Source organism: Homo sapiens, chromosome 2, assembly GCF_000001405.40.
Source record: "Homo sapiens chromosome 2, GRCh38.p14 Primary Assembly".
Taxonomy (NCBI): Eukaryota; Metazoa; Chordata; class Mammalia; order Primates; family Hominidae; genus Homo; species Homo sapiens.
In genome coordinates, this window is record NC_000002.12 from 10,900,642 (window position 1) to 10,925,657 (window position 25,016).

At 55.1% G+C, this 25,016-nt stretch overlaps 1 protein-coding gene across 1 annotated transcript, besides 4 other annotated features; it reads left to right on the forward strand.

Annotated features, from left to right (window-relative positions):
* Nucleotides 1,228-1,798: an enhancer, noted in NCBI's record as "NANOG-H3K27ac hESC enhancer chr2:11041995-11042565 (GRCh37/hg19 assembly coordinates)". NCBI's record gives its function as "activates a minimal SCP1, AML or CMV promoter by ChIP-STARR-seq in naive H9 embryonic stem cells {active_cell/tissue: H9 hESC(naive)}" and the evidence as "EXISTENCE:reporter gene assay evidence [ECO:0000049][PMID:30033119]".
* Nucleotides 8,338-8,838: an enhancer, noted in NCBI's record as "H3K4me1 hESC enhancer chr2:11049105-11049605 (GRCh37/hg19 assembly coordinates)". NCBI's record gives its function as "activates a minimal SCP1, AML or CMV promoter by ChIP-STARR-seq in primed H9 embryonic stem cells {active_cell/tissue: H9 hESC(primed)}" and the evidence as "EXISTENCE:reporter gene assay evidence [ECO:0000049][PMID:30033119]".
* Nucleotides 11,293-13,584, forward strand: KCNF1 (potassium voltage-gated channel modifier subfamily F member 1). The gene has a single exon (NM_002236.5). It carries the CDS (start codon nucleotides 11,786-11,788, stop codon nucleotides 13,268-13,270), a length of 1,485 nt encoding a protein of 494 aa, NP_002227.2. The 5' UTR covers nucleotides 11,293-11,785; the 3' UTR covers nucleotides 13,271-13,584.
* Nucleotides 18,180-19,083: an enhancer, noted in NCBI's record as "H3K4me1 hESC enhancer chr2:11058947-11059850 (GRCh37/hg19 assembly coordinates)". NCBI's record gives its function as "activates a minimal SCP1, AML or CMV promoter by ChIP-STARR-seq in primed H9 embryonic stem cells {active_cell/tissue: H9 hESC(primed)}" and the evidence as "EXISTENCE:reporter gene assay evidence [ECO:0000049][PMID:30033119]".
* Nucleotides 19,084-19,987: an enhancer, noted in NCBI's record as "H3K4me1 hESC enhancer chr2:11059851-11060754 (GRCh37/hg19 assembly coordinates)". NCBI's record gives its function as "activates a minimal SCP1, AML or CMV promoter by ChIP-STARR-seq in primed H9 embryonic stem cells {active_cell/tissue: H9 hESC(primed)}" and the evidence as "EXISTENCE:reporter gene assay evidence [ECO:0000049][PMID:30033119]".

The window sequence follows — 25,016 nt, forward strand, 5'->3', positions numbered from 1 at the left end:
CTTAATGAAGAAGGAAGCCTGGGTAAGTTCCACAGCTGCAAGGACATGGATTCTGCTGCATGAGCACGGAAGAGGACCCTGAGCCTCAGATGAGGCTGCAGCTCTGGGCAGCACCTTGATTGTGCCTCGCGAGGCCCTGAGCAAAGGACCCAGTTAAGCTGTGCCCAGACTCCTGCCCCATGGCACCTGTGCGCTAGCAAAAGTGTGTTACTTTAAGCTTCTATGTTTGATGTAATTTGTACCCAGTAACAGAAAATTGATAGACTGTGTATCATTCTGACCTTTGGGCAAGACGGAAGTCAGGGATGTAAATAAAAGCCTTCCTTTCACATTACATTTTTTTTTTTTTACAATAAATAGATAACAATTTTGCAATTAAAGTAAAGGAAAATGGGAAAGGATTTGTTTCTGAAGAGTTTTCTTCAATCATTTTGTTTACTTTCCTAGTGTGCTTTAAAAGCAAGCACAAAAGCCAACAGCAGCCCCACGCCCCACTACTCCAACCTGGCAGGCCACAGGCAGGAACATTTATCCTTCTTGGTCTTGTTTCCTAACTGCTTTTCTCTCTTCCCAGATCTCAGGCCCAGAGGGGTCCTACCCGCAGCCTCTGGGGCAGCTGAATGCGCCCAAAGCCTCTGACATCTTTCTACACATCTGGGGTGTGTGGCAACCCTGTCCCGGTCCTCCCACCTGCCTGCAGGCAGGATGAGTCATGGCTGAACAGAAGCCATGGGAAGCAGAGGCAGAGGCGAGCAGACTTCAGGAAACGTGCCCACCTCGGGAATGGGAACAAGGAAGTCACCCCTCCCGCTCTCCTCCCCCTGCTCTTCTTGGCCTTGGCAGGTTCAGCAGCTTGTCGATTACAAAGCTGTTCATGCCCAATAATGTATTTGTTCCTATAAGATCTTATAGCCAGGAAGGAAAGAGTCATTAGCTCCATTTTACTGATGAAAAAATTGAGGCATAGAAAAGAAAAAAAATGCTTAGAAGCTGGGGTGAAAAAAATGAAGTTTCCTGATGATTCAGTTTGACATCCTTCTCTACCCACCTCCATCCAGCACCGCCTCCCACCCAGCTGCCTCATGCACTTGACTTCCAGGGGCCATGGTATTCAGACAGGAGTAGACCAGCTGGGTCTTTCTGTCAATCAGCTCTTCTTGGTGGAGGTGGGGAAGGGGGATGATGAGGGGAGGGGGATGATGAGGAGAAGGAGCGGGGGTGGGGACGGGGCAGCTCCCTGATACCGATGGGTACACAGCAAAAAATGAAATGTAAATTTTCAATGGAGTACAGAACTGAATCTTTTTTTTTTATTTATTTATTTTTTATTGATAATTCTTGGGTGTTTCTCACAGAGGGGGATTTGGCAGGGTCATAGGACAATAGTGGAGGGAAGGTCAGCAGATAAACAAGTGAACAAAGGTCTCTGGTTTTCCTAGGCAGAGGACCCTGCGGCCTTCCGCAGTGTTTGTGTCCCTGGGTACTTGAGATTAGGGAGTGGTGATGACTCTTAACGAGCATGCTGCTTTCAAGCATCTGTTTAACAAAGCACATCTTGCACCGCCCTTAATCCATTTAACCCTGAGTGGACACAGCACATGTTTCAGAGAGCACAGGGTTGGGGGTAAGGTCACAGATCAACAGGATCCCAAGGCAGAAGAAGTTTTCTTAGTACAGAACAAAATGAAAAGTCTCCCATGTCTACTTCTTTCTACACAGACACGGCAACCATCCGATTTCTCAATCTTTTCCCCACCTTTCCCCCCTTTCTATTCCACAAAGCCGCCATTGTCATCCTGGCCCGTTCTCAATGAGCTGTTGGGTACACCTCCCAGACGGGGTGGTGGCCGGGCAGAGGGGCTCCTCACTTCCCAGTAGGGGCGGCCGGGCAGAGGCGCCCCTCACCTCCCGGACGGGGCGGCTGGCCGGGCGGGGGGCTGACCCCCCAACCTCCCTCCCGGATGGGGGGGCTGGCCGGGCGGGGGGCTAACCCCCCCACCTCCCTCCCGGTCGGGGCGGCTGGCCGGGCTGGGGGCTGACCCCCCCACCTCCCTCCCGGACGGGGCGGCTGGCCGGGCGGGGGGCTGACCCCCCCACCTCCCTCCCGGACGGGGCGGCTGGCCGGGCGGGGGGCTGACCCCCCCACCTCCCTCCCGGACGGGGCGGCTGGCCGGGCGGGGGGCTGACCCCCCCACCTCCCTCCCGGACGGGGCGTCTGGCCGGGCGGGGGGCTGACCCCCCCACCTCCCTCCCGGACGGGGCGGCTGGCCGGGCTGGGGGCTGACCCCCCCACCTCCCTCCCGGACGGGGCGGCTGGCCGGGCGGGGGGCTGACCCCCCCACCTCCCTCCCGGACGGCTGGCTGCCGGGCGCAGACGCTCCTCACTTCCCAGATGGGGCGGCTGCCGGGCGGAGGGGCTCCTCACTTCTCAGACGGGGCGGCCGGGCAGAGGTGCTCCTCACATCCCAGACGGGGCGGCGGGGCAGAGGCGCTCCCCACATCTCAGACGATGGGCGACCGGGCAGAGACGCTCCTCACTTCCTAGATGGGATGGCGGCCGGGAAGAGGTGCTCCTCACTTCCTAGGTGGGATGGCGGCCAGGCGGAGACGCTCCTCACTTTCCAGACTGGGCGGCCTGGCAGAGGCGCTCCTCACATCCCAGACGATGGGCAGCCGGGCTGAGATGCTCCTTACTTCCCAGACGTGATGGCGGCCGGGCAGAGGGGCTCCTCACTTCCCAGACTGGGCGGCCGGGCAGAGGGGCTCCTCACAACCCAGACGATGGGCGGCCAGGCAGAGACGCTCCTCACTTCCCAGACGGGGTGGCGGCCGGGCAGAGGCTGCAATCTCGGCACTTTGGGAGGCCAAGGCAGGCGGCTGGGAGGTGCAGGTTGTAGCGAGCCGAGATCACGCCACTGCACTCCAGCCTGGGCACCATTGAGCACTGAGTGAAGGAGACTCCGTCTGCAATCCCGGCACCTCGGGAGGCCGAGGCTGGCGGATCACTTGCGGTTAGGGGCTGGAGACCGGCCCGGCCAACACAGCGAATCCCCGTCTCCACCAAAACCAGTCAGGCGTGGCGGCGTGAGCCTGCAATCGCAGGCACTGGGCAGGCTGAGTCAGGAGAATCAGGCAGGGAGGTTGCAGTGAGCCGAGATGGCAGCAGTACAGTACAGCTTTGGCTCAGCATGAGAGGGAGACCGTGGAAAGAGAGGGAGAGGGAGACCGTGGGGAGAGGGAGAGGGAGAGGGAGAGGGGGAGGGGGAGGGAGAGGGAGAGGGAGAGGGAACTGAATCTTAATGAAAGGTATTATTCAATTCAGCAAAACACAAGGAAATTTTAACTGAGCAGAACTGATTAGCCCATAAAAAGGAATAGATTACAGCTTGCATCATTTGCCGTCTAGACAAATCACTTAGATACACAGGCACTGGTTTTAATTACTGCCATAGAAATCTAGCATTCTGTAGCCCAAAATGGTATTGTTCAACAAATAAAAAAAATTTTTAATGAGAAAATGCAGCTCAAACAACTACTTCCCATTATGCCTAAATAAACTGTTCCCCCACCCTTTATTTAAATAAGAAACCCGCAAGGTAAAATTGCTGCTTCTTCTATGTCTAATAGATTTTGTGCTCTACGTCCCTTCCCCCATGGCATCATGAAATGTATAATTCTCATAGAAGGTCTATGCTGGACTGAATACATCACAGCAAGAAGCTTTCCATTTTTAGCCAAAAAGTTCAGACTTTTTTTTTTTTTTTCTGGTTTAACCCTTCAGGAAATTCTAAATGGATCCAGGCTGCTGGCTCAAGTTTCTATGCAACAATGACCTTCAGTGAGAAAGCAGCATGTTGATTTTTCTCTTTTTTTCCTAATCCATGGGATCCCAGCCTCGCCTTTCCAAACAGGATCTATATGGTCAGAGGACAAAGGGCCTGTTTCCAGAGCTTTGAGAAGAGGAAGGCAGAGGCGGCACTTAGCAAGTGTGAGGGAAGGAGAACGTACTAGTCAGCTTGGGCCGTGTAACAAAGCACCACAGACCTCAGGCTTCAACAATAGGCATTTATCGTCCAAGATCAAGGTGCTGGCAGGTTTCATTTCTTTGAGGCTTCTCTCTTTGGCTTGCAGATGGCCACCTTCTCAATGTACCCTCACGTGGTGAAGACAGAGAGCAAGGTCTCTCTACCTTCTTCTTCTAAGGCCACTAATCTTGTTGGGCTGGGGCCCCAACTTTATGGCTTCATTTAACCTTCATTATCTCATTAAAGGCCCCATCTCCAAATAGCATCACATTGGGGGTTAGGGCGTCCACGTACGAATTTGGAGGGGGTGGTACAAAAACATTCAGTCCATAACAGAGGCAGTAGTACAGGCTTGGGGAGAGCACTGGGCAAGGAGTCAGCCAACCTGATCTGCAGGCTCCGTTTGCTCTGGCCTGGGAGGACAAGTGGAGTTTGTGGGATTCCAGGTGTGGGGCACTCTGGGCCTGGGCATGTCAGTAGACCAGAATGTGGACTTGCCAGGGTTTGATGAGGAGGTGGGGTGTGCAGCATGCAGGGGTAAAGGGAAAATGCCTGTGTCCTGACCGTGGAAGGAAGACCATCCTCTGACCCCCAAAAATCTCTCTAGCCACGGCCCAGCCCTGCTCAGTTCCCAGGTGCTTTTCACCTCCCATCAGTCTGCCCACAAGTCTGGGGCATGCCCAGGGGACCATGTCTTTCTCACCGCCACGCCCCAGACACTGCTGAAGCCTGGCTCTGTGGGACAGCTGAGCAAATTAAGGCTCATCAGAGACCATGAAGGTCCTGTGGTTTCAAAGTTATGTGGGTTCTGTTTGGGCATAATGAAGCATTTTCTCATTCCTTCCCTCCACATGCCTGCCTAGCACCTGCATGTCCAGGCCCGATGCTGGGCACCGTCACAGAGAAGAATAATCCAGATTGTACTGGGGCTGGAGTTGGGGGCAGACAAACCAGTGGTGCATGAACTGACCCTGTGCCATAGGACAGCTGAGGGCTCTGTGAGCACATAGGGAATGGGCCCTGATCCCTTGGGGAAAGGAGGGCTGGAGAGGGGTGCAGTCCCTGGAGACCTCCTGGAAGTGGTGACACTGAGGACTGAGCTTTGAAAGGGTGGAAAGAATGACCCCAGGGACGGGTGAGGGCAGCACTGCAGTAGAGGGCACAGTTAGCGTGGAGCATGCAGAGACCAGTGCAGTGCGGGGCCTGGAACCCTGGTGGGGACTTTCCTGCCTCTGTCTATGCTACTGCCTTGTCTGCCTGGGAGGCCTGGCCCTACTCCTCACTGCCCACGCCCACCTGACCTGGCTCAGCTTCCCCAGACTCCATCTGCCCAACATGGCAGCCACTGACCACAGGGGATTATCACCACAATTTGGCTTATCCATGCAACGGATATGATCAGCCATAAAAAGGGATGAAGTACTGACACATGCCATGCACCGATGAACGTTAAAAACGTTAAGTGGCCAGGCGCGGTGGCTCACGCCTGTAAGCCCAGCGCTTTGGGAGGCTGAGATGGGTGGATCACCTGAGGTCAGGAGTTTGAGACCAACCTGGTCAACATCGTGAAACCGCATCTCTACTAAAAATACAAAAAGTAGCTGGATGTGGTGGCGTGTACCTGTAATCCCAGCTACTAGGGAGGCAGGAGAATCGCTTGAACCAGGAGGCGGAGGTTGCAGTGAGCCAAGATTGTGCCACTGCACTCCAGCCTGGGCAACAGAGTGAGACTCTGTCTCAAAAACAACAACAAACAAACAAACAAACAAAAAATCCATGGTAAGTTGTAAGTGAAAGATACCAGTCACAAAAAGTCATATATTATAGAATTTCATTTACATGATATTCCTAGAATAGGCACATTCATAGACAAAAAGTATTCTAGTGGGTGTCTAGGGCAGGGGGAGGTTGGGGGTCATGGCTAAAAGGTGTGGCATTCATTTTGGGGGTAATGAAATGTTCTAAGATGAACCAGTGCTGATAGCTGCACGGCTCTGAATACACTAAAAGCCACTGGTGTATCAATCGTATGGAATGTGAAGTGCATCTCAACAAAGCTGTTAAAAATCAAATATAATTGAAATAAAAATTCAGCTACTCGGGTGCACTAGGCCCATGCCAAACACTCAGCAGCCATGTGCAGCTGCGGCTACTGTACTGGATAGTGTGGGTAAGGAGCCCTTCAGTCATTCTGAGAGCTCCACTGGACAGGCTGGACCTCCCTGGACAGCCAGGCCTCCCAGATGTCCCCTTGGAGGCTCCCAGATGTCCCTTCAGTCACTGGCCTAGCAGTCATCTTTCACAATTGGCACTGCTTTGAGGTCTCCACACAAATCCTCTAGCTCTGCAGATGTAGCACCTTCGTCCATCTCATCTCTGCTCTGTTCTCAGCGCCCAGAACAGAGCCTGGAATGCAGTAAGAACCACCCCTGCCGGTTCAAAAGACGGGTGCATGCACCTTCTCTGTGAGCTTTCCCCTAGGCCCCACGCTGATTCAGAGCCTCCCTTTTCCAGGGTAGCCCTTGCACTTGGCTCATACATCTCCTAGCAGCTGGTCCCCACCTGCTCTCCACCTATCCCAGCACCTGGTCACCACCTGTCCCAGCACCTGGTCCCCGCTTGTCTCAGCACTGGGCCCCCACCTCTCCTAGCACTTGGCCCCCACCTGTCCCAGCATCTGGTTCCTATCTGTCCCAGCACTTGCTCCCCACCTGTTCCAGCACCAAGTCCCCACCTGTTCTAGCACTGAGTCCCCACTGTATTCTGTAGCCCCATCACCGTGTACTGTGGCAGTCTCCTTATTCCACAGATGAAAAATTGGAGGCTTAAAGAAGTTACAGCTTGCCGGCCCGGCGTGGTGGTTCACACCTGTAATCCCAGCATTTCTGGAGGTCGAGGTGGTGGCTCACGCCTGTAATCCCAGCACTTTTGGAGGCCGAGGTGGGTGGATCACGAGGTCAGGAGATGAGACTATCCTGGCCAATATGGTGCAACCTCATCTCTACTAAAAATACAAAAATTAGCCAGGCATGGTGGCGCATGCCTGTAATCCCAGCTACTCAGGAGGCGGAGGCAGGTGAATTGCTTGAACCCAGGAGGCGGGGATTGCAGTGAGCCGAGGTCACACCACTGCGCTCCAGCCTGGACGACAGAAAGAGACTCCAACTCAAAAAAAAAAAAAAAAGTTACAGCTTGCCTAAGGCCACATGTGTTAGTATCTTAAGACTGTCGTAACAGAATACCACAAACTGGGGTGGTTTTAAAACAACAGAAATTTATGCTCTCACAGTTCTGGGGACCAGAGTCCAAAATCCAGGTGTCGTCAGGGTTGGTTCCCTCTTGGGGACTCAGAGGGCTCCATGCGTCTCTCCCATCTTCTGGTGGCTGCCGGCAGTCCCTGCTGTACCATGGCTTGTGGCAGCATCACTCCAACCTCTGCCTGTGTTGCCACGTGGTGTTCCCCCTGTGTATCTGTGTCTCTTCTTACAAGGACACCAGTGATTGGATTTAGGGCCCACCCTACTCCAGGGTGATCTCATCTTCACTTACATCTGCAAAGACCCAACTTCCAAATCAGGTCACATTCACAGGGGCCGGGTTTAAGGCTTGAGCATATCTTTTGAGAGGACACAGTTGAACCCACAGCCTCATACCACCAGTAAGTGTCAGAGCTTGGCAAGGCCTCCACCTGTAGCCTCTCTGTTCACTATGCTATTCAACAAATGACAACGTGTGAATATGTAAGTCCATGTCACCCATTTAACAGCCCGGGAAACTGAGGGGCACATGAATGCCAGCCTTCTGCTCCCCCATCTAAGGATACAGGGCTGATCCTCACAGAGCAGGATTTGTGTCTCTGCCTCTTCTCTTCCCTCCCCTGGCTTCTGGCTGCAGGCTGGTCTCGCACCTCCAGCCTTGACCTGCTATTTACAGCTGTTTCTTTCTCTTGCCCCTGTTGTCATTGGGCACTTGCTCTCCTGTGGGCTGTGTGCGGACATTCTCTCTGCTGGGCTTTGCATCTGCTGCCCCTCCCCTCCCACTTCTGCACCAGACCAGCTTTCTCCCCACTGGGCCTGGGATTTGCTGAATGGACTTGGAGTCAGAGTCAGCCTCTGGCTGCTATGACCTGATTCAAGCCGTATTTATTTTTCCACGTCTGATATTCTCTGTTATTTTCTAATACTCAATACGTTAATTTCACAGCCAGCTACTGAGCCACGACCTAAAGTATGAAGTGCTGACTTGTGGTCCAGATGCCTCCAGGGCCGCTGAGACCCTCCGGGGTCTGTTTCCAGCTGACTCCACCAGCCTCAGGCCTGCCAGCCTCACCTCCAAACCGTGTGGCCCTTTCAGCTGAGCAGGCAGGTGGCACTCAGACCTCCAGGCTCAGCTCACGCACTGGCTCTTCCGGGGGCCTGAGTCTCCAGCTTGTCATCACATCTTTCTAGATTCTAGATTTGTCCGCCTGCCATCCTCTCAGCCTGGGGTCAATAGTGTATTAACTATGATTTCTTATTTTCTGCATTCCTGATGACTGGCAATGTGGCCTCACAGACTGGAGAGACTGCCCCTCCCAGTGGGTGACATCCTTAGAGATTGCGAAAGGCTGGAGCGTATCTTTCACAGGCAAACCCACCAATTCCAGGCCCAGACCCCCAACTTCCCCTCATCAAACTCTCACACACCAAGGCAATATTTCCCTGCCCTAAATCATCCCAGACCAGGGACCAGGCAACTAGAGACCACCTCTGTAGTTCAAAGCCCACCAGAATTATCCCAAGGAGCCAATCCTGGACTCTTTCCTCTGTTCTGCCCTAACTTTTCCCCCAGGAAACCCCAATAGAGGGCCTGGCCTCGTTTTCCCCTCGCTCCTGCTTCTGCCTGGCCACACCTGGAATTTCCTCTGGCGTGTCCTCTTCTCTCAGGACATGTTAGTAATGCGTTCTTTCAATGACATTGATCTCTCTAAATCCCAGCGGTATAATTTTAATGCACCAGCCTCTCCTGGGCCTGCCCAGGTATCTGCAAACTCCCGGGTTCCACAGCACCTTGTATTTCATGACGATACAAAGGAGTAGCTATTGGGGCTCTATCTGCTGAGGGAGATTCATCAGACACCCCGATGCAAACCTGAGTGAGTGAAGGCTGGGCTTCTAGGCAAATGCAGCCCCTCCCTCTTCCAACCAGATGGCCGCCCCTCAGCGCCCCCTGTGGAGAAATTCAGGAAGCACCACTCTTGTATAATACATATACCCCTCTTGTTAAGGTCATTACCCCAAACTGTTAATTATTATTTACAAAAAACATATTATCTACTAGAATATGAACCCTGTCCCCACACCTAGGGTGGTGTGTGTATGTGTGTGTGTGTGCATTTGCACACATGTGCCATAAGAGCTCGATAAATATTTGAATAACTGAGTGAATGAATGGGTATTTAGAAGCCCATTAAGCTCAGACTAGGATGCAATTTGAACTTAACCCTGCAGGTACTCGGACAGCTGATAAGGGGAGTAGCATGCATAAGGATTGGAAGAGGAAGCTGGGGTGTGTGTAGGAGGTGGTGTGTAGCACTGTACTGGGGAGAAGAATAGGCCTCAGAACCCAGCAGGACAATGGTTAAATCCCAGCTCCACAGAGTGATCTCGGCAGGTTACCTGACATCTTGTTTCCTTAGGGGTTGCTGGGAAATTAAATGACAAAAATGCAAAGCACTCAGAGACTGCACTCCGATGCCCATGGAGAATAAGTGGCAACTCTTATTATTACTCAACCTTTCTGAGCCTCGATTTCCTACTCTGTAGTAGCATGTCATTGTCTGATGCTAAATGGAAATGAAGTAAAATTTGTAAAACGAAGTTTCACTAAATAATACTTCATGTGATGTATTCTAATATATTCTGTTTTATGCTAACTCATTAAAGAAAAAAGAATACTGTCAGTGACCCAGTAAATTGATTTCATAATCCATTAACGGACATGTCCTTAAGTTTTAAAAAACCCAGCCTACAGAATACATTTTTAAATAGACTTTATATTTTAGAGCACAATTCAACAGAAAGTACAGAGAATTCCCACATGCCCCCTGTCTCCACAGCTCTCCCCTGCGCATCAACATCTCACACAGGGTGGGACACTTGTCATGGTGGACCACCCCACATGGACACGTCATCATCGCCCAGCACCGAGTTTGCATTAACATTCGCTCCTGGTGGTGAACATTCTATGGATTTTGACCATTGCATAACGACACATATCCGCCATTATGGTACGTTTCACTGCCCTAAAAATCCTCTGCTCTGCCTATTCATTCTTCCCTCCAGAATATTTTTAACACGATCTCGAGGCCATAGATGATATCAGTAATTTGCAGTATTGATGATAGTGGTGAACCGGAGGAGAGAGACACTGTTAGGAAGCTGCTGTAGTGGTTCAGGTGAGTGAGGACAGAAGGACAGCTGTGGCTGCAAAGGCTGGAAGAGAGGAGGGTGTGGGACACTGGTCAGGAAGAGACAGGCCTTGGTCAAGGAGTGAGGAACGGGGAAGCAGGAGCCACTGGACCCTAGGGGTCTGGAAGCTAGTGGCCTTGGTGTGGGACTGCAGAGAGATAGGAGGTGCCAGACGGCAGGGACTTCAAGGCAGAATTGAAATCTGCTGAACAGCAGGCGTCGGTCAGCTGGGACAGCCGGAAAGCTCGGGATCAGGAGGCGGTCAAGCTGAGCTCTGCTCTCATTCCGCCGCGTGACCTTGGGCAAGTCCCTTCCCTTCTACAGGAGGCTGGACTAGATGTCCTCCTTGTACAGCGTTGCGGGGAAGGTGAGACAGTGCCACCAACACAGCAGGGCATTGCTGGGTCGGGGGGATGGGGCAGGAAACGCTTCAAGGATCAGGCAGGATTTTCCTCCCACCAGGAAAAGCCGGCGCGGGTCTAAGGCCGGAGGAGGGACCCAGACATAGGAGTCACCTTCTAAGGGGCTTCCTGGAGCACATTTTCCTGCCCAGCAACAGGCGGCAGCATTCTCTCCCCACTAATCCTCTCCAAACAGCAGTGAGAGAGAATGCCTGCCGCTTCAAGCCAGGTCGCAACCCCTCGGTGACCCGCTGCGCCCGAGGAGGGGCCGGCGGTGCGCGGTGGTGGCGGCGGGCGCGGCAGCTGTGCCCGTCTGCCCAAGGGTTAATCCGTCCCCTGCAGCTGCCGCGCGTGCCTTGCAGAATTTCACCAGAAGAGGGTACAGTTTGAAAAGCTCCTGACGTCAGGCTGGAATTCCTATTGTGTTTAGAAAAGGCTCGGGCAAAGCCAGCCCAAGTTCGCTCTCTGCACACCTCGAGCACCTCGCGGACGGCGTGGGTCCGCCAGCTCCGGGACCTGCCGCCGCTGCCTGCGCGCCCCGGGGCGGAGGACGGTGCCAGCCGCCCACGAGGAGACCCCGCTCCCGCAGGAGGCCGAGCTGAAGCGGCGGAGCGCGCCGCCAGCCAGCCGGGGTGAGTGCCCCGGGCGAGGCCGGCGGCCGCCAAAGCCCCCGCGGGCTCGCCCGGGCGCCCGGATGCCAGCCCCGAGCCCCGCCGCCGGGTGCATGCCTCCCCCGCGGCGCGCCCCCGCAGGCTGCTGCCCGCTGTGACCGCCCTTCCCCGCAGGCGGGCGCCGGCCAGGCTCTCCCCGAGATCAGCGCACGGGTGGCACCCGCCGGACCCCCAGCGGCAGCGGCGGCGGCGGCTGCAGGGGGCGCGGGGCGGAGGCTGCGAGGGCGCGCGCGGGGAGGATGGACGGGTCCGGGGAGCGCAGCCTCCCGGAGCCGGGCAGCCAGAGCTCCGCTGCCAGCGACGACATAGAGATAGTCGTCAACGTGGGGGGCGTGCGGCAGGTGCTGTACGGGGACCTCCTCAGTCAGTACCCTGAGACCCGGCTGGCGGAGCTCATCAACTGCTTGGCTGGGGGCTACGACACCATCTTCTCCCTGTGCGACGACTACGACCCCGGCAAGCGCGAGTTCTACTTTGACAGGGACCCGGACGCCTTCAAGTGTGTCATCGAGGTGTACTATTTCGGGGAGGTCCACATGAAGAAGGGCATCTGCCCCATCTGCTTCAAGAACGAGATGGACTTCTGGAAGGTGGACCTCAAGTTCCTGGACGACTGTTGCAAGAGCCACCTGAGCGAGAAGCGCGAGGAGCTGGAGGAGATCGCGCGCCGCGTGCAGCTCATCCTGGACGACCTGGGCGTGGACGCAGCCGAGGGCCGCTGGCGCCGCTGCCAGAAGTGCGTCTGGAAGTTCCTGGAGAAGCCCGAGTCGTCGTGCCCGGCGCGGGTGGTGGCCGTGCTCTCCTTCCTGCTCATCCTCGTCTCGTCCGTGGTCATGTGCATGGGCACCATCCCCGAGCTGCAGGTGCTGGACGCCGAGGGCAACCGCGTGGAGCACCCGACGCTGGAGAACGTGGAGACGGCGTGCATTGGCTGGTTCACCCTGGAGTACCTGCTGCGCCTCTTCTCGTCACCCAACAAGCTGCACTTCGCGCTGTCCTTCATGAACATTGTGGACGTGCTGGCCATCCTCCCCTTCTACGTGAGCCTCACGCTCACGCACCTGGGTGCCCGCATGATGGAGCTGACCAACGTGCAGCAGGCCGTGCAGGCGCTGCGGATCATGCGCATCGCGCGCATCTTCAAGCTGGCCCGCCACTCCTCGGGCCTGCAGACCCTCACCTATGCCCTCAAGCGCAGCTTCAAGGAACTGGGGCTGCTGCTCATGTACCTGGCAGTGGGTATCTTCGTCTTCTCTGCCCTGGGCTACACCATGGAGCAGAGCCATCCAGAGACCCTGTTTAAGAGCATCCCCCAGTCCTTCTGGTGGGCCATCATCACCATGACCACCGTCGGCTACGGCGACATCTACCCCAAGACCACGCTGGGCAAGCTCAACGCGGCCATCAGCTTCTTGTGTGGTGTCATCGCCATCGCCCTGCCCATCCACCCCATCATCAACAACTTTGTCAGGTACTACAACAAGCAGCGCGTCCTGGAGACCGCGGCCAAGCACGAGCTGGAGCTGATGGAACTCAACTCCAGCAGCGGGGGCGAGGGCAAGACCGGGGGCTCCCGCAGTGACCTGGACAACCTCCCTCCAGAGCCTGCGGGGAAGGAGGCGCCGAGCTGCAGCAGCCGGCTGAAGCTCTCCCACAGCGACACCTTCATCCCCCTCCTGACCGAGGAGAAGCACCACAGGACCCGGCTCCAGAGTTGCAAGTGACAGGAGGGCCCCTCAGGCAGAGATGGACCAGGCGGTGGACAGATGGGTAGATGTGGCAGGCATGTCATCGACAGCACAGAAGGGCTGTCCTGTGTCCCCCCAACCCTCCCCTGGACAGACTCTGAAGGCCCTCCCGGCACCTCTGCCAAGGCTGGGTAAGACTCCTCTATGTTGCCTGCTGTCCAGGAGCCCGGGAGGGAGGGGTGTGCAGGAGCCGCAGGGCCGTGTGGGACGAGTGGAGGCCGCGGCCTGGCTGGCACGAGAGCCCACGCCCGCTTCTGTATCTCCCTCAATAAAGCCTCCTGCTCTGTGCACCCTCCGTGTTGTAGGTTCTGTCACAGGCTGGCTGTCACCCCCAAGAGTAGCTCAGGCACACTTCAGTGCCAGGCCAGGAGGTAGGTGTGCAGCCGGGTGGTGGGGGAGTTATTTTTAGTGGGAACTAATTAAAGAAGGGCTCATAGTCAGGTTCGGCGCCAAGGAGCCTTACCACATTCCTGGAGGCTCTGCAGGCCGTGCTTCCCTGCTGCTTCCTTCTGGGGTAAAGCTTGCTCCCCCTGCAGGCCCAGGATGGGGGAGAGTTCACAGTGCACGCCCAGCAGCCTGCAGCATTTAGTTATCACGTGCACCGGGCCCTTTTCACAACCTCTTTCTATTCCTTCCATTGACCCTACTAGCTAGGTATCTCCATTTTACAGATGAGGAAACTGAGGCCCAAGGTCACACAGAGAAGGGAACAATCCCAGGTCTGATGATCCCAAAGCCCATGTGTTCTCTCTGACACCAGGTGGTCTTGGGACAGAGGCATCTGCTTGGGCTCATGATGAGACAGTCTTTGGACCAGGAGAGGGGCTGATCTTCCTTGGTGTGGGGGTGCCTGTCCTCCAGCCCATCTTTCTAGCCCTGATACCTTTGAGATAGCTGCTGAATGGATAAACCCGAGTGTGGATGCCCCTACCCGTGTCCTGGTGTCTCACTGAATCTCCTCTGAGAGCCCCGAGGGAACAGATCAAACAGATCTGGGTTCGAAGCCCAGGCAGTGAAGAGGAACCCTGAGATGCCTTTGAGCTTAAACATTTTTCTCTAAGGCCTCTCCTCCACCACTCCCTTACCAACTTTGTGACCGTAGGCCTGCTGATTCATCTCTCTGACCCTCATTCTGATCATCTGGTAAATGGGAATATAATATTTAATAAGTACGGCAGAGAATCGTGGCTTTTAGCATGGCACCTGGCACTTAGTAAGTGCTCAATAAATAGTAGCTGTTTCTATTACTCTGTGCTGGGAGGGAGGTGGGTTGCACGGTTGCCCACTCTGACCTCCACTGATCTGGGCTGGGCTTGTAGGTGGGGGGAGGTTGGGGGCAGGGCATTGTCACACTGTCCTTAGTCAAAGGCTAAGAGTTGGCCCCAGCAGGCCCCTTCTTCTGGGTTTCCATCTTTCCTGAAACCCAGAGCTGTGTCCTTGCTTCTCTTGCTAAGGCAGCTGGTGCAGTGGGAGGAGCCCTGCAGTGGGGCAAGTGTGTGGGACTAGATGGGGGAGAGGGAGGTGGTGGTCCCCAGTCTGCCACCATCTCGGGCCAATTTTTCCCCTCCTCTGGGCGTAGGTTTCCCTATACGTATAATAAGACTTCTCGAGGCCCCATCTAGATCCGACCTTCGAGGATTCGGAAGCCTTAGGCTGTGGATGCTCTGTGGTGGGGACTCTGGAGGGTGGGAGGCTGCCATGTTGTAGGGGGCTTGGAGTGGGAGGTCTTGGGAGAGAGTTAGGGTCTGTGGAGTGCAGGGCTTAGCTGTAGAGCTAAAAGTGATGAGAGGGCCCCAGGTAGAGAGGGGCCTGGCCAGGGGGTGCAAGGCCAGGTGGGGCAGGAGTGTCAGCCCTGGCCTGAAAGGGGCTGTCCTGTGTCCCCCAGCCCTCTCCCGAACAGAGGCCCTCCCAGGCAAGACTCTTGTGTGGCTTTCAGTCAGTGCCGTGCACCCCTCCCTCACACGTTTCTCCAGGAAAATGCTGGGTCAGGGCCAAAAGGCAGAGGAGTCAGGAGGCAGGGGCTGGGGCAGCGGGGACCCACTGCAAGGGGGAGAGGGGCTGCACGCCCTCCAGCTGGGAAAGAGGGGAGGAGGGTTGTGGAAGGTACAGTCTGTGCACCCCCTGGGCTCAGTGGGTTTGCTGGATGTGTGGGTTGCCTCTTTTTGTTCCCCTTTTCCCCAGAGCCTGTGCTGGCCTGAGCGGGGGAAGCTCAGGGAGGGCGGGAGAGGCCAGGGTGACCCTGGCTCTGGAGGCCGCCTTCTCTGCACTCACCTGGGGCACCAGGGGAGGGAGGCGGTCAGTGAAGAGCAGATTTACGGCTACAAAGCCATGCATTGGAAGAGGAGGAGATCCAGTCCCAGAGGCGGTAGGTGTTTTGTCTGAGACCTTCATAAATTAGGATTGGACAGGATTCTGATCTCAGAGGAGCTCAGAGTGTAACAAATAGTTTCTCTACAGTGACATGTTGTGTTATGCAGGAGTGACCTGGGGACTCTGGGATCTAGGAGGAGGAGCAGTCTTCTTTCCCTGGGTAATCTCTCTGGGGCACGAGTTCTGGAACTCTGCTGTGCATTAGAACCACATGGGGAGCTTTAAAAAGTCCCACTGTTTAGCTGTTTAGGCTGCACCCCATACCTATTAAATTAGAATTTCTGGGGGTGACACCCAGGCAGGATTTTTTTTTTTTTTTTGAGACAGGGTCTTACTCTGTCACCCAGGCTAGAGTGCAGTGGTGTGAGCGTAGATTTTAAAGTTTAAAATGCACTTGAGCCATCCAGAGACCTTGTTAAAATGTAGTCTTTGAGTCTGTAGGTCTGGGTGGGTCCCTGGAATCTGCATTTCCAACAAGCTCTCAGATGAGGCTGAGGCTACTGGGCATGGACCCCACTTTGAACAGCAAGAGGGCAGAGGGGGTGCTGGCAAACTCTGGCTGTGGCCAATCTGATCTGCTACCTGTTTTGGTACAGTCCATGAATTAAGAATTGTTTCTATGTATTTACATGGCTGAAAAAATTCAAAGGAAGAATAACATTTTGTGACACGTGAAAAGTACATAAAATTGAAATTTCAGTGTCCACAAAACAAGTGTGGACTATTTATTTTCCATCCCCTATAGAAAATGATGTCTAAGTTAGGCCTTGAAGAATGAGTAGGAGCTCTCCCGGAAGAGGGAGTAGAAAGAACGTCCCACTCACCATGAACAGTGTGGGTGCCAAGACACAGGAGTGTGGAACCCGCTTCAGAGGGAGTGAGGCCCACTCTATAACCACAGGGCAGGTGCAGGAATCATAGTAAAAATATCTTCCTTTCTCATTGCATCCCAGGGCTCACAGCTCCCTGCTTTGTTTCCCACGGAGACCCCCGATTCCAGGTCCCCTGCAGCCAGCTCTCTGCTGTCCTGGCTTGTGCTTAAAGGCCACTGGCTTCTCTTCCTCCTTTCTTGACCTCCCATCCACAGTCTTGTAAAATCTCCCTGTCCTGGGGCAGTTGCCTCACATACTCTTCCCTGGTTTGGGTGACTCTCACAAGCTTCTTGTAACCTGCTAATAATGACTATTGAGTGAGAGGCAGATGTGTTTCTTGGAGTTGCAGAATGCGCAAGTTAAGAGAAAAGCAGGGCATCATCGGGTGCAAGCCCCTGTTGTACAGATGGGGACATGGTGGCTCTGAGTGTGTACGGCTGAGCGAGGCCTGCATGCCACAGCCTGGTGAGGGGCCCACCCCATTCTGATTCTCATAAAATTGGGAGCACTCTGTGCATGCCATTTCAAAAATAGAGACGTGTGAGTACAAGACTGTGTGTGTGTGTGTGTGTGTAAAAACAAATCAATTTCTGACTTTTAATGAAACGGCATGTGGTAGACACTTTCACAAACAATCCCCTTTTAGCCCCAAAATAACTCCGTGCAGTGAGCTATTAATCTGCAGTTTTACAGATGGGGAGACTGAGGCCCAGAGGGCAGAAGCAACAGGCTGATGGCCTTGCTGCTCGTTGGTGGCAGAGCTAGTAGCCGAGCCCAGAGCCTCCAGCTGACATTTATCTGGAGGCGGATTGTGCACCTCTCCCTGCTGCCATCAGAACTTGGCGCCCAACAGACCCCAATTAAGGTCTGACCTGAGCTTCCTAATAAGGCCACCATGTGATCTCTCTAGGGTGCCATCATCTGATCTCTCTAGGGTGACGTCATCTGATCTCTCTAGGGTGCCATCATCTGCTCTCTCTAGGGTGCCATCATCTGCTCTCTCTAGGGTGCCATCATCTGATCTCTCTAGGATGCCATCATCTGATCTCTCTAGGGTTCCATCATCTGATCTCTCTAGGGTTCCATCATCTGATCTCTCTAGGGTTCCATCATCTGCTCTCTCTAGGGTTCCATCATCTGCTCTCTCTAAGGTGCCATCATCTGATTTCTCTAGGGTGCCATCATCTGATCTCTCTAGGATGCCATCATCTGATCTCTCTAGGATGCCATCATCTGATCTCTCTGGAAGGCTTCACTTCATGAACTACGCTTTAGTTTTGGCACAGTATTTTTTTAAGGAAAGAAAAAGAAGGCAAACCCATTTCCTTGGAAGAGATGCTTGGGCCATGCGGAGTTCAGGATCCATCTTGGCAATTGTAGGAGGGTCTGGAGCCTAGAGCCCCCCATCTGGGGTCTGGAGGGACCCCATAAAACGAGGGAAACTGGAAAAATATCTGTGAAAATGGCAAGACCTAGAACTACTTCTCACACATTCCCTGATGAAACCTGGTGGGCGGCACGTAAGACACTAGCAATTGCCCCAGGGTTACAGGAAGGTGGTTCATTGACCTCATGGAGAGATACCAGCAGGAGGATGAGCCAGTGTGAGGAACACTTGAGAGGCAGTGCCCGGTCTCCCCTCATCCTGTGAAGGGCTGCCTGCTCCTCCCACAGCCCCCAGGCCCAGCCCTCTTCCCCCCAAGGGAGGATAATTAAATGTCTCCAAGCCTCCTGTCATCTCCCAGGAAGAAGAGGGCTGGGGGCATTTCCAGGGGCCTCCCACCTGTCTGCCTGTGCGGAGACAGCTCTGTGCTCCTCCGGAGAGCACATTCCCAGTTGACTTGAAAGGGGATTTCACCCATCCCTCAATCAGAGGTGGAAGTTCCCCCTAAATGCTTTTCTCACTTGGAGCAGCCCAAAATGTAGCTATAGAGAGGATGTCAGTTTCCAAAAGGAAAAAAACAAAACAAGGATTGGGAGGCTCTATGCTTAGTCATTTTCGTTTCTGAGGCTATCGCTATCGGCCAGCCGGGCTCGGCGCCAGGGCCGCCGTAATCATGATTTTATTCTACACTCCCAACAACTGGCCAGAAACGTTGATTGCTCCGACTTCAGGTGACACCTGTGAGGTCCCGTGAGTCCAAATTGCCTGTGGTCACGCGGCTAAAGAGACGTCAGTGCAGTCAGAGAGGGACTCCAGCTTGGGCCCAAGGGACTGCACAGCCCTCCGCCTCCCTCTCCACTTGCCAAGAGGGCCCTGTGCCTGCGGCCCTGAGGGCCAGTGTCCGTCCCCAAGGAGCGAGGATGGAGCCCACCACTGCCAACCCTTCACTCCAGCTTAGCCTCTAGGTCACTTCCCTGGCACAAAGGTAGATTGCAGGTGAAGGAAAGACCAGCCCTGCTGGGGCGCCTGCTGGCAGCCACACCTCTTCTCCCCAAACACAAAGTATTATGCCTGTTGTCAAGGGCTTGGTTGGGAAGATGGGGACTGTGCTTGCAATAGCGGCAGCCCAGACCCGGGAGAGGTGCAAATATTAATATATCTAGGCCGGGCTTCTGCTGGTGCGTCTGTTAGCGAAGTTGTCACTAGAAGCCAAGGGCTTTGTCTGTTGTAGTCCCATTGCTGGATTCAGCAGAATGGGTCTGACCTTGGAGCACCAGCCCCAGGAGAGGCCCCACGGAGGCTGTCGGGCAGCCAGGTTGCAGGTAGACTGGAGCCGTAGGGAAGCATCCGCAGCTTGCACCCACACCTTGCTCCAGAGTGGGTAGCAAGTGCGAGCCAGATTCCTCCCCCTCCTTCGCTTCAGTCTCCCTGGCCACATGGCCAAGTGCAGGCTGCTGAGCCTGCCGGAAAGGCCCTCCACGGCTCCAAAGACCTCTCCAGCGTCATCTCCCATGCTGCTACCCTCAGCCCTCCCTAGCACCGAACGCTCCCTGCTGTGCACAGGTGTTTCCTGTTGTCCCTGTCGCCCTTCCCCCAGTCCTCCACCTGTCAGAACGCTGCCCCCACACTCTCCTCCTCGGAGGTGACACTGCCCCCACACAGCCTAGGGAGGGGCCTGGCTCTGTGGGGCAGAATCTGGGCTGTGGAGATCCTATGGTCAACCCACCTCACTCCACACAAGGAAAGCATCTCAGGAGGTCATGTGACCATCGGGAGTCACATGTGGGAACGAGGCTCCTGATCCTGTCTCTACACTCACTTTCCAGCTCTGTTCCAACTCCATCAACCCTCACCCACGACTGCCCACAGGTGTAGGCCCAACCAAGTCAGAGGTGAGGATTGAGAGATGAGACTGAAAGACAGCCCCAGGAACAGCTTCCCGTCACCCATGTGTGGTGTGGCAGGCATCAGAACAAGGCCGGGGCTCGCCAGCCCCAAGTGCTTTGCCCATAGTCTCCTGTTCATGTCAAACCTTTGTGGAAGCCTCTTGGCCTTTTAAAGACCTGAAGTTCACAGCCAGACTGAGGGATCCTCTGCTTCTCATGAAGCTGGGAGCACACCATACACGCACAAGACCTTAGTGCATGCGTGCGTGTGCCTGTGTGTGTGTGTGTGCGTGTGTGTGTGAACAGATTCTTTCTTGCCCTCTGAGTGAAAGGACGAGGACTACTGCATGCTGCCTCCCTTTGTAGCTGATCACCTTCCGCAAAAATCTGCTTCACAGCCAGCAAGGCAGGGGCCATAGACTGCTCCACTTCCCGTGCCTGGAAACACCAGCCGCGTTCTGGCCCTGGGACCAGATGGGCATAGAACATGTGGGGGAGGAGGCCCCAAACATCCTCAAGAGCTGGCTGCTCAGAGCACAGGCAGAGATGGCAGAGGGACGGACCGAGAGTTGGCCTCTCTCAATGACCGACTCTGTGTCCAGCTTGTGCACATTTCCCAGAAACCTGAAGCTCGAGCGCCTAAGTGGCTTGTCCAGGCTCTCCACTGACCCGCGGCACAGTGGCTGGGCCAGGGCATGCACCCCAACCTGGGGAACATGTGCCTCCCTGTTGTGCCTCATGACACCTTTGGGCTGCCCCTTGTGGGACAGTGACCTGAGCTGTGGTGTGAGTCCCAGGGTGACAGGTTTGTGTTCGGGTCACAGGTGTACCTTCTGGCAGCCGGGGCAGTGCCTGGCACATAGTTGGTACATAACGAATGTTTATGGGATGGACCCACTCTGTGCACGGTGCTGTGCCCTGGGGTGGCCACACCCAGAACTTCTCGTCCTCAAATTCTGCATGTGGCTGTCTTGTCTGTTGATGATGGGGTCCGTGTCTCACCTCCATGCCCTGTACCTAGCTGCCAGTGGCTGCCAGCACAGAGAAGTGCCCTCTCTAAATGCTCACATTGAATACTTGAGCCCCTAATGGCATCCTTCGTGAGGAAGCTCAGACTCCTTGGTCAGAAAGTTCCAGTAATGAGCATCTGCCCAGCTGGGATGCACCTCTGCAGAGCTCTGCCTTTGATCCTGGGCCCCTGCCCGGCCCAGTGAGGGAAGACCCTCAGGCCAGCCACAGACCTGGGGTTGTGTCTGGGGGCCTGTTTCCACGGAGCTACACCCATGTGGCTCACCCTCTCTGCCTTCCCTCCTGGGGCAGCCCCACTGTGGCCCAGAAGCTGGAGCCCCAGGATCTAGCCTGCGATGCGTGCCCTCTGCAGGCTGCTCCTCTCGTTCTCTGGCCTGTTTGCCTCCCTAGAAAGGGAGAAGGGTGCTCTTTCCTTTGGTCACAGAACATCCCTCCACATCTCCCAGAACCAGTGTGTTGAAGGATACCCTTTGAGAACTGTTGGCCCTGGTATTTTCTTCCTTTTTTTAAAAATGTTCTTTTTAAAAGTGTCATTACTATAAATTTTTTCTAACACACAGAAAAATAAATTCTATCATCAAAATAACCACTACATACACGTTCTTAGTATTTCGCATTTTGTTAAACCTTTTAAACGTGTCAGACACGCAGACGCGTTTCCCTGAAGACTTCATCATGCAGCTCCAAAAATAAAATAACCACAATGTGATTTCCACACCTGACAAAATCACCAAGCATTTTCTAAGCTCCCCCCTAAAGCTTTCCACCACCCTGTTTTGTGGAGGGAGGAAGAGAAGGCCTGGCCAGCTCCCAAACACCTCAGGGCACCAGAGTGGAGCTGGAGCGGGTGTCCCTGCTGCCACCTTAACTGAGTCCCTCCCTGTTAGCCCCCAGTCTCTCCTCGGCATGATGGATCACAAGGCTTTGCCTGCTCTCTGCCCTCCCAGTGCGGGCAGGAAGCACTGAGAGGTTTCCAGAGATTTTCCCTGAGCAGAGCCAGGGCAAGGCCGGCAGGTGAGGGCTCCGCAGCCCAGCCACAGGCGGCACGGTGGGGGCTCACTTCAGAGTAGGGGACGCACTGAGAGCAGGCAGCATGTGCTGTGCAATGGTGCTGGGAGATGGGAGGGGATGCTTCCGTTTCCTTTAACATTCGCAGCCCTTTCTCCGTAGCCCCTCCTCCGTAGCCCCTCACCTGCTCTCTGCTTCCAGTGGGTCCTGGCCATGTCCCGCCTTCCTCCTGGGGGATGGTCTGAGGTGACACCAACCCTGGGATACACAGTCCCCTCCCCTCCCACCCCCACTGCACTTTCTGAGGAAAGAGGGCACCTCAGAGGCCAAGAATGTGTGAACCCACAGGGCCAGAGGGTCCCAGCCTCACCCGCTGTAGCCTGGTTTGCCGCAAAAGCCCACTCACGTATCGCTTGCCTCCAGTCTCGGCCATTTTCTACATAACAAAGGGATTTGTCAAAAGAACCCCCAGCTTGAGCAAGGCATCGCCTTGCTTAAACCCCCAGTGCCCTCGGGGTGAGGCCCAAACTCCTTGGCATCCCTTGGAAGCTTCTCTCCCTGTGCTCACACGGGGTGCTTTGGTGGCAAGTGACCAGGAAATCTGAGCCACACTGACTTAAAGCTAAGAGAAGGTGGACTTCAGGCTGGGCTCCATCCAGGGGCTCGGCTCCCTTCTCTGCAGTTGTCCCAGCTCTGCCTCCTCCACACGTGGGCTGGTAGAAAGACAGCTGCAGCAGGCATGTGCCTCACCTCTCCAGCGGCACCCAGAGCCGGGAGAGGCACTGCCTCCTGCAGCCTGCTCCAGAGCGAAGAAAGCATTCCCCAAAGCCCCCTGCAGATAGCCCTTACTTTTCACTGGCAGACATTGGATGATATGCTCGTATTTTAGTCCATTCTTGTGTGCAGGGGACAGCCATTTGCTGAGGCCTGGGTTTCTGCAGCGCTCACACAGGGTCAAGATTACTGTGACTGGCTTGGACTATTCAGATCCTGTGCCAGGTGTCAATCCCCAGACTGCATGGGGTGAGGGTGGGCTGAATGGTGGGATGGTGGGGAGACTCCACGGCCCTCTCCTTTGTCTACGCAATACTCACACACACATGCAGTTCATTTTTATTAAGCATCTACTATCTGCTGGGTGTCATTCTAGCACCTGGGGGTAGCACAGTGAATGACAAAGCACAAAGCCATGCCTGATGGAGTGTGTACAATATGTAGTCTTCAATGTCCACATGGGCTGACACACCTTTCATATATACATGAAATTCAAACATCTTCCCCAAGGCAGACTCGGAGGCACGGGCAGTCATTGTCTCCAGGCGGCCCACCAGGCCTTTGCAAAATGCCTCTGTCCCCTTCAGGTCTGGATGTCGAGCCTCAGGGTTTGACGATTTCTGGTCACAGAAAATCATCTCTACCCACACACTCGAAGTACCCAGTGTTGGAGAAAGGGCAGGAAAATGATGTTCAAAGTTTACATTTGGAAAACAGGCAGCCTAGTTGGCCCTGGCCCATAGCACTTATCATACACTGGGGAAAAAAGCACTGCTTCCAAAACAGCCGGGCACTCTTTGCTTCTGCACTTTGGGAAAATATCCCTGGTCCACTCTCCTACCCTGTCCTTGGTCTGTCCCCTGGGAGACTTCCTTCATGACTGTCCTCCAACATGGCGATGAGGGTCCCTGCCAGGCCCGCATGGGTCTAGCAGCCAGGAGCAGGTCTGGGGCCCACCTTCTGTGTTGCGTAGACCAGGCTTTGGTCGGCTGTGTTGAGGATTTCTTTGACACCTCTCCCTTCAATGCTTAGTAGGCTTCCTGCTGATTCTGTGATTTCCAGGAGATACAAGATCTTGTCCAGCCTTTTTCCCGTGGGAACACCTCTGTCCCAGCAGCAAGACTCTGCACCTGCCCATCCCCGCTGGACCTCAGCTTAATGGCCTCTCTCTTCATCTTGTTAGGCTAGGAGTGTGCCCCCTTATCTCCCATTGGCAACTCTTGGCTCCCTTCTGCTAGCATGAATTTTTGTGTAGAATTTGACCCTAGCAAACACCCCATGGCTGCTCACTGGCCAGAACTGGGACATTCCTGTGGCTGGGGCCAGCCATGCCCTGACTGGAGTAGGGCTGGGTTCTGGTCACCATGTGGGAATTACAGCAAGGAGGAGAGGATGCTGAGGAGAGATGGCTGTGGTGCTGCCGAGGACTGCGGGGCAGGCAGCAGCATCGCCGCACCCAGACTTTCCTTACACCTCTTGGCAATTACTGTGCTGCTCCTGCCAGGGAGGACAAGGCGCAACAGCCCCATGGTTCATGGTTATGCTTTGAGGCACATCTTCTTGGTCACCTCCCCCAGGAAGCCTTCTCTGACCACACAGTCTGGGCGTGCTGTCCTTCTCTGAGTTCCCTGGCCTCTTCTGATCAGAGCGCCTAGCTCCTTGTCTTGTCACTGCTGCCTGTCTTCCCTCCCCCGACCCCCCTACCCATGTTAGTGCCTCAGGCCACGGGCTGTGTCAGGTCTCCCTGCCTCACAGAATTGACTAGAAGCACACTGCACATTTCGGGGAGATGTGTTTCCAAGAAGCCCTAAGCCCAGCCTGGCCCAGGGCCTCAGTGTGTGTGCAGTGAGTGAAGAGGTTGGTAAGGGGCTGAGCAGGGCTTCATGGGAGGGCCTGGCTGCTGTTGGAGCAGGGAGGGCCAGAAGCTCCTGCCCAGCAAGGAGGGGTCCCCTAAAGGCACTCACCTGTGTGTTGGCACCTGCTACCATCTCTGAGGCAGAGGAGAGGGGACATGAGCTTTGCAGTAGCTCTGTGTGTGCCCATGCACAGGGCTTCTCTCCATGCCTCACTGGGATGAGTCCTGGGTGTGACTGGAGCCAGGGTGGGATTTGGGGAGCTCCCAGGGTGGGATTTGGGGAGCTCCCAGGGAGGGATTTGGGGAGCTCCCAGGTGGGATTTGAGGAGCTCCCAGGTGGGATTTGGGGAGCTCCCAGGGAGGGATTTGGGGAGCTCCCAGGTGGGATTTGGGGAGCTCCCAGGTGGGATTTGGGGAGCTCCCAGGGAGGGATTTGGGGAGCTCCCAGGTGGGATTTGGGGAGCTCCCAGGGAGGGATTTGGGGAGCTCCCAGGGTGTGTCCCCAGCCCTGCCTCTGTCCCAGGAACACTCTGTCAGAGGGGGT

What these genes read in the sequence shown, in the direction of transcription:
- KCNF1 (NM_002236.5), top strand. Translation starts at nt 11,786, where the DNA reads ATGGACGGGTCCGGGGAGCGCAGCCTCCCGGAGCCGGGCAGCCAGAGC.